The sequence below is a fragment of the Homo sapiens genome, chromosome 4, assembly GCF_000001405.40.
Source record: "Homo sapiens chromosome 4, GRCh38.p14 Primary Assembly".
In the NCBI taxonomy this organism is placed as follows: domain Eukaryota; kingdom Metazoa; phylum Chordata; class Mammalia; order Primates; family Hominidae; genus Homo; species Homo sapiens.
In genome coordinates this window covers 176,045,515-176,060,449 of record NC_000004.12, presented here as the reverse complement: position 1 = coordinate 176,060,449, position 14,935 = coordinate 176,045,515, and positions in this window count along the sequence as shown.

Here is a 14,935-nt window from a genome sequence, read left to right as displayed (position 1 = left end):
TTCTTAATTATTTACTAGTGTTTTATCTATGCTTTTGAGGTTATTTATGTTTATTGTAACTGTATGGTACAAATACTGTATAATAATGTACATTTCTTCCTAACTTGTTCAGTGATGTCACATTGATAGCTTGAAATTGGCCATAGTGGATGTATTTACTATCATGGGTAATCAATGACTATCTAGGCCAGTGGCATTAGGGTAAGAAGAAGTTACCAAGACAGTTGTAGATAAAAAGGCAGATTTATTGGAGAAGGTATGAAAATACTTCGCAAACGTGCAATGGGCAGACCAGCAATAGAGGAGCTGACTTCAAGGAGTCAAAATTTGCTGGGGATTTTATACAATGGTGCTTGTGCTGTGTACTGAGAAGGGCTTTGTGCAGTATTTGTAATATCAAGGTTGCAGTGAGCTAACTTGCATTTTTCCAGCAGCTGAGGGTCTAGTGATAGCTGGGCACAGAAAGGTTGTGAGTTGTTTGTGCAGGAGGGCTATGAGTCCTGAATCATGAAGAAAGGTAGGCTTATAACTTATCTGCTTTCTCTTTCCTTTCCCTTGGTCCCACCAGCCTGACTCCTTTTCCCTTATTAGGACTCCATATTTACACCTTGAAATTCAGCAAATGTGAGAAATCAGGGTATGATTCGTCGTGTTGTTAACTGTCTCGACCTACCCTGCTTCATAAAGTAGCTACTAGCAAAACATGGCTATTTAAATTTAAAGTAATTAAAATGAAATAACATTAAAAATTCAGCTCTTCAATGATAGTACTTAATAGTTCAAGTACTCAATAGTCTCATGTAGCTAAGTGGTTACTGTATCAAACAGAGCAGGTAAAGAACATTTTCATTATACCAGAAAGTTTTATTGGTAAATGCTGGTTTACTTCAGGAGTCAGAAAACTTTTTCTGTTAGGAGCCAGATACTCAATATTTTGGACTTTAGAGCTATATGGTCTCTGTCACAACTACTCAAATTTGTTATGACAGTGTGAAAGCTGTCATAGCCAATACATAAATGAATGGATGTGGCTGTGTTCCAAAAAAACTTTATTTACAAAAACAGGAGGCAAGCTGTATTCAACTTAAGGCTATAATAGTTCGGCAGTCTCTGGTATAAACTTAAGAAAATGATGGAGAAACTATTAATAATGCAATTTAACTTTAAAGTTTGTTGTGTCTATTACTGTTACATTAGAAATCGCACAAAAACTGAGGAATTATTCTTTTAATATTCAAAAACTGTTATTCAATCCTGCTAATAAGTTGTTTAGGCCAATGGTGAATGAGTGAAGTTTCTATATATGCCTTCATTGTTTCTTTGTTGTCTTACTCATTAACATAAAAAAATCAACATTAATGTCAATTGCAACCATAATTTCAATACAAATACAAGAGTTTGGCAAATATTAATGAAAGTATTCTGTGAAAATCACTTTGCTATATGGAATATAAAATAAAGAAGATAATGTATTATATTATCATACATAAATTGTGTGGGACATATTTTATATCATTAAAATTTATAATAAATTTGTTTACATACATATACGCATACATTGTTTTTTTTAGAGAGCAGGTTGTTAAACGGTTACTACCACATCATAAGAAAGCATCTGAATTTATCTAAAAGTGTGACACAGGAATGCTTATGAATCTTGGTGTTTCAAAGCCATCTGTCTATGTATTCATCTACTCTCTCTCTCTGCCCCCACCCCAGTCTCTCTGTCATGACCTTCGGAATGTACTACTCATTTCCAGCTGTGGGGATCATAAAGCATAGATGGTCTCAGCTGCTGTGATTTGAATCCACCATCATCACATTTATGCCAAAACCACACTTCACTGTATACAAATTTTATCTCAATAGTTATTTTTTGACCTTCACAAAGAACTAATTTTCCCCAGTTAGTATTCAAATATCCCAATAGTATACAATTAGTGCATCAGACTGAAAAAAAATTATGAAACTACTTTTTTTAAAAACATGAAAAACGCTATTTGAACATATATTAGTATTAAATATTGGGAGTTAATAGAAATAATGGCAAAATTAATTACTCTTGTTTATTTGGACAGCCACCTGAGCTTATATCATGAATTTTATCAGACTGATATTAAATAATAATTTATTTTTAGCATGTATATCCCATATGGAAATATTTTTTGGTATAAGGAACATACAACATTTATTTGAGATAGACATTCTGACTCCCTAAATCTAAAACTCTCCATTATGGGCATTCGATTCATATATGTGTGTGTATGTATATACTACTGTCTGTGCATTTAAATAAAATTTCTCAAAGCCTTATAAATAGAATGGAAGAAGTACATACAATAGACTGAAACCATGCAAAAGACTAAGCCAAACTAAAAATAAAGCAAAGTTCAGATATCTGGTTCTAGAAAATATGACTTAGGCCATTTTGCTATGAAACAAGGCAATATGTTGCTATGAACGGGAGTCCCACATGAAGCAATTTGCTGAAGATATTTCAGAAGACTTTGTGCCCCAAGACACTGGTTTTTATTTCTTTGTTTTAAGGATGCTTGCCAGCACTAATTCTTCATCCAAACTTTTAATCTTTTAGTGACACCAGGTTGAAGGGTAGTTTTCACCTGTTTTAAAAAGTGTAAGATCATAAACAATGATAGGTAAAAACCTAGCCTTCATAAAATCCTGTTCAAAGAGTGAGCAAATTTTCATAGCTTTTTAGAAGCAGTTGTAAATCTCAGAGGATTTCCTTTGTGTTATTGTATTCCCAATTCATAGCCATCTTGCCAAAAAGAAAAAAAAAAAAAAAGAAAAACCCCTAAATATATATTTTATGAAATATTGAAGCAGTAAGTGTTGCATGGTGTTTTTCTGGATGGCAAGCAATGGATTTTATAACCTAGAATTTTTTCAAGGAGCAGAACAGGTTAAATTAATAAAATTATGTTATATTTTCTTACATGTGACCTTCCACATTACCCTGTACCTATGCCATCCTGACCCCACCACTATATTTTACTTTTGTTTTTCTTAGGGGAATGAAAGAGAAATAAGAAAGCAGCTCACCCAAATTTGCTTCTGGAGAAATTAATATTGAAATGTAAAAAAAAATTCTCAAAAGGACAGTGTGGCCTCAGTACCTAAGTAAATAAGCAAGTAATTCAATAAATGTCTAATATTTGCCACTCAGATAAATTGCTTTGTTAAATGAATGTTAAAAATGTTAACCTTCTGTTTGATAAATTAATGCTAAGGAGATGATTATATTTAGGTTTTCAAACCTCTACATTAAATAATAATTTATTTTAAAGTTGAAATATAGAGGGAGATCATGAGGAAAGATCCTTAGGGATTAATTTATAAGTATTCTCTAACTCTTTCATTGCTAGAGCATTTTAGTATGGCCGTTTTAGTTACATAAAGGGACTTGTCTCTCCAGTTCATGAAAACATGGTTAAATTTTGAGAGATTTCTTTTTCAATCAATATGTCATTTCCCCAGTTAGAAGCATTTTACACATATATGAGGGAATCAAGCAGATGTTATAAGCAGTTCAAATGAAAATTCCAAACCTCACAAATCTGTATGTCATGTAAATGAATATTTGTATTTATTTATTTATTTATTTATTTATTTATTTATTTATTTATTGAGATGGAGTCTCACTCTGTCGCCCAGGCCGCAGTGCAGTGGCGCAATCTTGGCTCACTGCAACCTCCGCCTCTCGGGTTCAAGGGATTCTCCTGCCTCCGCCTCCCGTGTAGGTGGGACTACAGGCACCCGCCACCACGCCCCGCCAATTTTTTTTGTATTTTGAATGGAGAGGGGGTTTCACCGTGTTAGCCACGATGGTCTCGATCTCCTGACCTCATGATCCGCCTGCCTCGGCCTCCCAAAGTGCTGCGATTACAGGCGTGAGCCACCGCTCCTGGCCATAAATGAATATTTAAATGAATTTCAAATGAAGGCAAAAACTGTTTTGGGAGAAGGGGATAAGTCAGTTAAGTCTTTACCACACAGGAAAAATTTTATGTTATCTATCAGATCTACAATTTTAAAAAGGCAAAACAGCTAAAGATCATGTACAGGGCTAGAATCACACAGCAGAAGGGTGCGCCATAGTCAGTGCATAGAATTCCATGTCTTTTCAACACGTTATGTTGGCGATGTTTGGGTAGCTAGCTCTGAATATAGAGCATACTCATTGAGTCGGCAAATATGTAGACTTTAGATTTAATTGACTTGATTTTTAACCAACATCACATATAGGTTTACTACATGTAGGGAAATAAAAAGATAATCTTAGGGTATAAGGAGACTGACATGGTTTTCAAGGCTTGGCTTAAAATAGCACATTGGCATGATAATAAACTACAATCATCTTACAGTCTCATAGTTATCAAGATATTAAAAGAGGATTTTAGGGCTGGCTGGCACTGTGGCTCACACCTGTAATCCCAGCACTTTGGGAGGCTGAGGAAGGCAGATAACGAGGTCAGGAGTTCGAGACCATCCTGGCCAACATGGTGAAACCTCGTCTCTACTAAAAATACAAAAAGTTAGCCGGGCATGGTGGCAGGTGCCTGTAATTCCAGCTACTCGGGAGGCTGAGGCAGGAGAATCGCTTGAACTCTGGAGCTGGAGCTTGCAGTGAGATTGCATCACTGCACTCCAGCCTGGGTGACAGCAACACTCCATCTCAAAAAAAAAAAAAAAGAGGATTTTAGAGACAGGTTCTTGCTCTGTCACCCAGGTTGGAGTGCAGTGATGCAGTCATAGCTCACTGTAGCTTCAATCACCTAGGCTCAAAGGATCCTCCTGCCTCAGTCTCTCGAGTAGCGAGGACTACAGGCACACAATACCACATCTGGCTGTTTTTTTCTTTTGTTAGAGACAGGATCTTGCTATGCTGCCCAGGCTGGTCTGGAACTCTTGTCTACTAGCGGTTCTCCCACCTCAGCCTCCTGAGCTGGGATTACAGATATCAGGTACTGCACCTGGCCCTAAAATCTCTATTGTCAAATTTATAGTGGTACCTAGCTGAGAGTTTGTTGTTGTTGTTGTTGTTGGAGAGAGGCAGGGAGCAGAGAGGACTATAATGTGATGTTCTCTATATAATGGGAAAGATAATAACCTTAATATAAAATATTGGGATAATTACTTGCTTCGTTATGATATAAAAATAGAAGTTTAAAAATAAGGTTTCTGATATTATCTGAAATAGTGTATAGACTTCTTAGCATTACAATCCTAACTTATCCAATGATTTTGAAGTAACAAACAAATTTCAACTGCCACTAGATGACACTATTTCATCCTTAGAGTAAATGTAGAAGTTGATTTCTCTTCTGTTGGTGGCTGTGAAGGAAATGCAAGTTCTGTCAGGCCAGGCTTGATTCGGAGCCCCTTGATTTGATCCATTTGCTCACTCATAAAGCTCCATTCATACCCACAGTTACAACCTGTTGCTTTTCCAAATCCCAAATGCTGTAGTGATTATGACAGCTATGATTCCACCTCGCTATTAGGAGACAAACCAATGAAACAAAAGCATTAGTCTTCCTCTCTTCCAGAGATCACCTTGCCTGGTGCTGCACCTGTTTGTAAACCAGTGGCTTGGACTTATGTCTCTGCTGGACTGTCTCCCCAGAAATTCTCCTACCATTACTTGCCATTCTACTGAGGCCACCGCCTAGAATGTATGGGCATGGTCTCCCTGGTGGAACATTGCTCCTTCTCTGAAAGTAGTAGTGGGAGATTGAATATGAAGCAGTCATAGCTTTTTTGACCCTTTATACTTTACACCTGCACCATTCAATGCTGAAGGGAACATCAAACTTTCTGAAGGATTGGTGAAACAAAGGATCTATAAGGTAGGAGGGAAGCAACTTTGAACTGCATATTTAATATGCTTTCAGTTATCATCCCAAGGCAAACCACCCATGAACTTAAAAGTTTTAGAAGGTTGGGGATTTGCTTGATGGTTACCTAACTTTGATACTGTTTCCTTAGTAATAGCTACTTCATAAAATTGCTTCTTTCCAAATTCTGCCATTAGACTCTCCACCCACTATCCAGAGAGTCTACCCCTTATGCACAAAGGTTATTTTCATCCATCCTCCTGTTGCCTTAAATTAGAAATACCATTCTAAAATACCACTTCTTTTGGGTACAAGTGCAGAGGTGGGAAGAAAGAGTAAAAGGAGAGGCTGGAATGGCAGTCAGTGTGTTAGAGTGGACTTCTGGCATTCTAAGTGTTCTATAATGATGTCAGCCAGAAATAAGCAATCGGGTCTGATCTCTCTAATGTTTCCCAGTACAGCCACTTGCAGGCATACTCTTTTCCTCATATTATCAAATGGATAACTGAGAAATTAACATGGACTTACAACATACATCTGCGTATTTGGAAGATATGTGCATACCTCTAACAATGGAGGACAATTAGCAGAGTCAGCAGAATGTAAATAGAGCTTGCAAACTGGTCAGGCCATTTCTGAACAACATTTATGTTATGTTTGGCTTAAAGCCTACACAATCTGTTTCACAAGGAGCCAACATTTAAAAATCAGGAGATTTCACCATAAAACTTCATTATTCCAGCTTTTCCATACTAACCAGGAGCCCTGGAAATATGGGACCTTATCCCAATGCAAGTAATTAGCTAGAGGTGAGTAGTCATTGACTCTCTAGATGCGGCAGATGATCCTCTTTGACAGTCACTGTTTCTCTCTTTCTTTCTTCATTTTTTTTTTCTTATGAGACAGAGTCTCACTCTGTGGCCCAAGCTGGAGTGCAGTGGCACAGTCTCAGCTCACTGCAACTTTTGCCTCTGGGGCTCAAGCAACTCTCCTGCCTCAGCCTTCCAAGTAGCTGGGGCTACAGGTGCGCACCATCACACCTGGTTATTTTATTTTATCTTATCTTATTTTATTTTATTTTGTACTTTTAGTAGTGACGGGGTTTCACCATGTTGCTCTGGGTGGTCTCAAACTCCTGAGCTCAGGCAATCCACCTGCCTCGGCCTCCCAAAATGCTGGGATTACAGGCGTGAAGCACTGCGCCCAGCTTCTCTCTTGCTTTTTACATTCTACTACCTTAGCCTGTTGACAATAGTTGCTTGACAACTGTAGATATTTAGGTTTGCAAACCCTGATCTAAACTGTTAAGGAGAAAAAAGGAACATTTTTCCAAATTGGAAGGCCTCTTCTCTCACAATCCCAATAGAGTTGTACTTCACATTGTATATTTTGTAAAGCAGTATTGGCTCTTTTCTTTTATTCCCCCCACCCCCACCCTTCTCATTCCTACAAACTGGACCTCTGTTTCAGTTTTTACGTGATGCTTTGACAGAATGGGTTGATGTCATAGCACCGTTGCCATGTGACTATTCCAGCCATTGTCAGGAGTGACCATTTCCTTAAGTCATTGACTTTGGACATCTTTTCCCCGCCACTTGTCACGTGACTATTACCAACGTCTTTTCACAATAAAATGAAACATAAGGCCACTGCTTAGCACTTCTGATGTATTTCTGAAGGTTATTCTCTTAGCTACATGCACATCCTGTGAATATCAAAGCAAAAGTGAAAAGGGGAAGTTTTATGGCTGTGTGGTTTTACAGCCATACATCTCTGTGATCTTGGATAAGTTAGCAAGCTTTCTAAATGACGTCTTCTCATCTACAAAGTGGTACATTACATCTTACTTATACTTGGATTCAGAAATAAATGGACTTTTAGAAAACTGGCCCACTGCAGGAAGAACTTCTTGAGAAACATTCTGAGGAAGGAAAGTTCAAGCCCACAGCCTTGGCCTAATTGTAAAGTTGTTTGTTAATCAGGAGAAATGACTATAATTACGGGATTTGGAAGTAATTTGAGTGTCTGTTGCACTCATGGAAATAGAATTCAAAGAAGAGAGAAAAACAAGTAAAACCTATGATATGGCTAATTAATAGCCCTGTAAAACTTGTGGGCCCTGCCTGCTTTGCAATCCGTATACTACATAGAGCAAAGCAATATCCTCATTTCTGGTGAGAACGCAAGACAGCAATCCATATGGAGGACATTAACACACTCATAGTGTTAACATCCTTCAGCTCAGCATGATTGCTTTTGCACAAAGAGGCCAATTAATCTCAGCCAGGCTTTGGCACGATGTAGCTTCGGCCTTAGGTGCTACTAAGGAGAGAAACATCAGTGGGTTATCTTACTGTAGCATTGCTGGTGGCTCCAGCAGCAACCAACATTATTGGAGGCTGAAGCCAGAGAATGAGAAAAGGAAAAAAGTAAAAGCCAAGTGATAGCTGAGAAGAGTATATTTAATAGTTCCAATGAGACTACGCAAGACCATAGGTAGGCCTGTCCCCTCTTGGAACCTCTCAGGAAAGCCATTTCTTCATGCCAAGTGTGCAGAGTTGCAGGCAAGCTGTACTGAGTACCAGTATATTGTTGAGTACAAAAGTAAACACAAAAGTAAAAGCTCAGGAATCTGGTCTTCTCTTTATTCGATTTCATCACCAACACCTTGATGGTTGTGCTGGTATTTATACAGTTTTCTTTGTTCCGTTAGACCACCGTTCTCATCCTTTGTAGTTTTATGACTCTCCTTTTGCAACATTAAGACTGACGTGCCTTTGGCTTTGTAAGGTATCGGAGATGATAACTACTGCCATTTGGCTTTTCATCCAACTTTAGAAAACTTCTCAAGTATCACAGAGTTTAGTCTTATCTCATATTTGGAAGAACAAAAAGATTGATGAGATTGTTTTGGCCTTAAGAAATTTGAAATGAATAGTAATATTCAAAACTCATTCCTTTTTTGTGGGGAAGGTTGGTCTACGTTATAGAATATAAAAAGGAGATGCAACAGAAACTTCTATTCCCTTTGTTGACTGGCAAAATAGGGGCAAAATCAGAAGGATATGAGGTAGACCCTTTAAGAAGGGGCTAGTAGAAAACGTTTCAGTTCTCTGTGATGTGCTTCGAGATGACTGGTTAACACATTAGCATTGCTGTTCTGCAATAGCTGTAGCCATTGTCAGGAGTGACTATCTCTTTAGTCACCAGCTATTTTTTTGGATTACACCAAATAAAAGAAAATCTATTTCCTGTATTGATTATTCTGAAAACCATCTCAAGGAACTGATATAGGAAGGTATTCATGTTCTCCCACAATAATCGGTAGAAACTTTAAAGTAAAAGAGCTGGAAAACCTGGCTTTGTAAAATTATATAATAATAATGAAAAATATAGTGGAAAAAAACTCCAGAGTAACCTCTTGCTTATTTTAAATATGTCAAGCAAAATACATTGTTTCTAATCTGTACTGACTTCATACTGTCATATTCATTCTTTCATTCTTCATTTCACGAACCTCTTTCGATGAGTGACTCTGTGATATAGGCCTATGCTTGGTTCTGGGATAATAATCTCAGAAAGGCTAATTTTCTGGGTTTAAGAATGTCACAGTCTAATGGAAACCCTGAAAAACAACTCTAATAAAATGTGATAAGTGTTATAATAGAGTGAGTTTGCAGAGTTTCAGAAATGGAGGGGGACTAGGGGAGTCAGGGATATCGTCACAGAGAGAAGTCTATTCAAGCTGTGGTTGGAAAAATTGTTAGGAATTCATCAAACAGGCAAGGGTACAAGAGTATTCCAAACCCAGGTAATAACATGGCTAAATTATGACCATAATTTAGGGCATGATATGGTCAGGGTCCATGAGGGTAGCAAGGAAATAATCCTGTTTTTAAAAACCAATATCTACGTTTCCAACAAATAGTCCTAGAGTGATCTCCATCTTCCTTTGATGCATCTTTTTTCCAGTTGAAATTATACATTTTTTTTTTTGAGACAGAGTCTCGCTTTGTCATCCAGGCTGGAGTGCAGTAGCTCGATTGTGGCTCACTGCAAACTCCGCACCCAGGTTCAAGCAACTCTCCTGCCTCAGCCTCCCACGTAGCTGGGATTGCAGGTGCCTGCCATCACTCCCGGCTAATTTTTGTATTTTTAGTAGATATGGGGTTTCACCATGTAGGTCAGGCTGGTCTCAAACTCCTGACCTCAAGCAATCCACCTGCCTCAGCCTCCCAAAGTGTTGGGACTACAGTTATGAGCCACTGCATCCAGCTGAAATTATACGTTATAATGATTTGTAAATGATTACTACATGTCCAATTATTTCCTTTTAATTCTGTTTACAAATGAATATCACTATCTTTGTATCATTTGTCTAGTTTTCTTTTCTATTAATAAACTGAATTAAAACTTCTTATGTCATTTTGCATCATTGTAAATATTATATTCCTGCAAATCTTTGTGTACCTGTGTCTACAGGCACAAATGCTTTAATGCAATCATTTTTTAAAATGGCATCCAAGTGGTTTTTAATAGCTAAAGCAGCTTTGAAACCAGAGTGTATATTGTGGAAGTTTCAACTTTATAATAGAAATTCATGAGAATTTCACATTCTACACCATAAAATATATCCATAAGTTTAATACAAAATACATTTTCAATAAAAATGCTTATTATTTAGCAAATTTGATGTGTCCCGAAGATGCTTCTTGTTAATTTTTGGAGTCTTGAATATATACCTAGGGTGACTCACCAGAATGGTTTGCCTAGAACTTCAGAGTTTTCTAAGATACAGAATTATCAGTGCTAAAACCAGAACTGCTCTGGCCAAATTGGCTCAGTTAGTTGACTTTCATGTGACTTTGAGAAGCATAGACTAAGGACAGGGCTTAACCATGTCTCACAGTGGTGAGCTGATTCTTGCCTAGCATCCCTTCCCTCCTATTATGGAAATTGTGTCCTGCTTTTTTGTTTGTGATCCTCCTCTTTCACTTCAGTATGGATGCATGAGTTCATTTGTCCTACCAGAGTGTCCTGACCTCTCCTCATACCATGAAGAGTCACAGACCTTGTTAATAAGAGCTCCTTATTTCTTGAACACAGAGATTGCTACAAACAGGGTCAGAGGTTCCAGGAAAGACTAACAGATATTTAGATACCATCAGAGAGAGGCTTTTTAAAAATATGATTTCTGAATTAGGAGGACATTAATCCATGTTGAAAAGAATGATCTTGCCTTACATGAAAGAAAAAAAAATCCTTCTGTGAAGAATGAAAACAAGATTTATCCATATCCAAGGAATCCAGAATCTGATGATGCTATTTGAGCTCCTGAATCACAATACACCTAAAGCTAAACCCCTTTATAGACTCTTAACCCTATAAGCCAACAAATTACTGTTTTGCTTAAGCTAGTATAATCAGATTTATATAACTAGCAATTAAAATAATCTGACGTGCTAAATATTTTTCTTCAATTTATTTTAAATGCTTATTTTACAGAAACTAATATTAAATATAGTTTCCTGAAGATTCAGACTTCACTAGCATAGCATACATATCATTCGTCATTGAATCAAGGCAGTGTTCCTTCAAGGAGACAGGGATAGGCGGGAAAGGATCAAAGCATGTGAAGACTAACACGAACTGAGATTTGAGGGGGTGAACAGTGAGCAGCATATGTCAGGGAGGGCTTGGAAATCTCCCTAATTCAGCAGGTAATTGGCATCAGTTGAATCAAACAAAAGTAGCAGAGTGTGCCAACTGTGGGAGCCAAATGGCTAAAAGGAAATGAAACATGTATTACCTGGAAGATGTGCTTATGGGGAAGAGGGCCCTAACTGAATTAGCACTTTCGCCCTTGAGAGTAAACTTAGTCTTCAGGGAAGACTGAGAAATCTAGCCAGTCTACTGGGTTATGACCTTAGAATGTGGATGAAGTTAGAAACTCAGCCCTGTGACCAGTGAACAAGTTGGTGAGGAATGGGTCCAGAAAATCTGTTGGAGAAGCTCAAAGAGCAGAAAAGAATAATCCTGGGGAAGGCAAAGTAGGAATGTGAGACACCCTCTTTCCTCGAGGAAAGATTTTTTGGGAATTGAATGGGGTAAGCCCAGTGACTGGAGCTCTGAGAAGCTGTAGAAAGCAAAGATCTAGAGTTGCAAAATATGCAAAGGTTAGCTTTATTTATAGCTTCCTAAATTTTCAGTTTCCAGGGAAATTTTATTTTTACAATGGATTTCTCATTCTAATGATTTTCATAAAAATAACTTTTTGTCTATATCATGACCCCCAATCTGGAACATCTATTCAAGAACATGTACATTTATTGGAAATTTATAATTTCATTTTCAAATTTATTTTTATAAACCTTGGGTTTCCAACTCAAAAAGTCCCTCTTCTCCTGTGTTTTCTTTAGCAAGGAAACATCCTCAGTTCGCAGAGCAGTGAAACATGAAAGGAACAAGCTCAATTACTGTTGAATACACATAGCAACATAAACAACATAAACAAGTTATTTCAAGCATTCTTATTCCTTGAGTTTTTCATGCTATTCTAGAAGTCAGATTTGTATGTATGTAATATTACTGTCATGTCAAAATTTAATTATTTTGTAAATGTTTTAATAAAATGAAATGGTATCTAAGAATAAAGGAAACATAAAATGTTTTAGTTCCATCTTTCTGGCTTTTAAATAACAAATATGCAAGTCTAATTTATTTTATGTCATTAAAGTGAAAAGTTATCCATTGACCCTCTCCTCCCTGATTCTCACATTGACAGCCACACAGGTAGCATCTTTACTAGCTACACCACTATGTGTCTTCCTTTTCTCTTTTCCTTTCCTCTCCCCACCCTCATCCTGATAGTCTTAGTGCTGTGGGAACAAAGACGAATATATTGGCATTCTTGACTTTCTGGACCACATATTCTCTTGGAGGAGAAAATGATGTGAACCAAAACATCTGCTTTTGGAAGCTTTTGCCCTCTGTTTATATGGCCATCTAGCTTTCATAAGTCAGTATTCCTCTCAGTGCTTTCATTTGTTGAAGAGTTCAGCTTCTGGCACAAGGTCGTTCTCTGTAACCCTGCTTCTGCAACCAATGATGTTACATCATTATGGATAACCTGTCTAGCAGTCAGGACTCTCAGTTCATCTTCATCTTCAGTATTTTGCTCTACTACACTCAGCTTTTCATTCCACGAATCTTGTGATCATCAGTCTTAAACCTGGAAGTGTGAAGAGTCTAAGATGTTACCCCACCTACAAGCTAAAAAACTACCTGTCTGTGTGTGTGTGCGTGCATGCACACACAAACAGAAACATGAAACCTCTGGATCAGGGAACAAAGCTTTTGTTTACTCACAGAATACCTTTTCTCCATGCCCCAGTTCCTCATGGAGAGACATGACAAGAGTTACATGTACCTGATGGGGTTAGCATCATAGGAGAGGAACTCTGAAATTATCAAAACCCAGAGCTTATGTTGGAACTGCTGGCATATCCTCAGAGAGAGGGAGAGAGATTGACATGACTATCTTTTACTCTGGAATGTAAACACATCCTCTTTTGGGGAAAGATGGGAAGTCCTTTTACCCTGGAATGTAAGCAATTTGTTCTGGGGAAGATTAGAAAGCTAAGTTTAGATTTTGCTATCAAAAAACATGACAAATTAGGGGAGAGGAGACATTCTCTATCTTCATATTGTGTTAATTTCCATTGCTCTGAAGATACTCACCATGTAGCAACAGGAAGAAACCCAGGGACCATTATCTTGCTGCAATCAATACCTGCACAACCTCTAAAACAGTGGCGTTCAATCTTTTGGTTTCTATGGGCCACATTGGAAGAAGAAGAATTATCTTGGGCCACACATAAAATACATTAACAGTAACAATAGCTGATGAGCTAAAAAAAAATGACCCACAAAATCTCGTAATGTTTTAAGAAAAGTTTACAAATTTGTGTTGGGCCACACTTGAAGCCAGCCTGGGCTGCGGGTTGGACAACCCACTGGGCCATGGGTTGGACAAGCATGCTCTAAAATCTCTATTTTACGCATCCCACTTTCTAATCGCTTGCTCGTATATTTCTAATTCATTCATTCTAGTACCCAGACTCCAACAATTCTTACCTCCTTCAAGAAGTCTAACTCACTGGGATGCTTGTTTGTTTTTATCTTTCAAGTTTTTTTTTTTTTTAACTATCCAATCCATCATCTGCTACCTGCACTTCCCTTTTAACTCAACCCCAAAATAATGTCTCATCATTATAATTTCTCACTTATCAATGTCTCCAATTCCATTGTTTCCCTCTGCATGCCAGAAACACCTCAATCCCACCCTCTACTTGCTTATGCTCAAGTGTTGGAATGTTGTTGGGAGAAAAAAAAAATCACACAAAGAAACTAAGTGGTCTCACTTTAATTCATGACTGTAAACCTTTCATAGAAATAAATGTAGCATTCCTCCACAAAACTGTAGGCTTCTCTAGGATATAGATATTTAATATTTGTAATTATAGAGCTTGTTCCACAGAACTTCATAGCTTCCTATCCATTTGCCAATGAGACCACAGTTATTCCAAGTGTGGTGCTTAATTTTTGGTGTCAACTTGACTGGATTAACGATACATAGATAACTGGTAAAGTATTATTTCTGTAAGGGTGTTTCCAGAGGAGATTGGCATGTGAGTCAGTGGGCTGGGTAGGGCAGGTCTGCCCTCAATGTGGGCAAGCATGATGCAAATGGCTGGGGGCCCAGAGAGAACAAAAAGGCAGAGGAAGGCAAGTTCTCTGTCTCTCTCTCTTGTAGAGTTGGGCCTCCCTTCTTCTCTTGCCCTTGGGCATCATAACTCCAGGTTCTTCAAGAGTTATGATGAGCTTTGGATTCAGGACTTGCACTAGCAGGCTTCCAGGTTCTTTGGCCTTTGGACTCAAACTAAGAGTTACATTATCAGCTCCCCTAGTTCTGAGGCTTTCGGGCTTGGACCAAGCCACACTACCAGTATCCCTGATTCTGATGCTTGCATGTGGCCTATAGTGGGACTGCACAGTCTCCATAATCATGTGAGTCA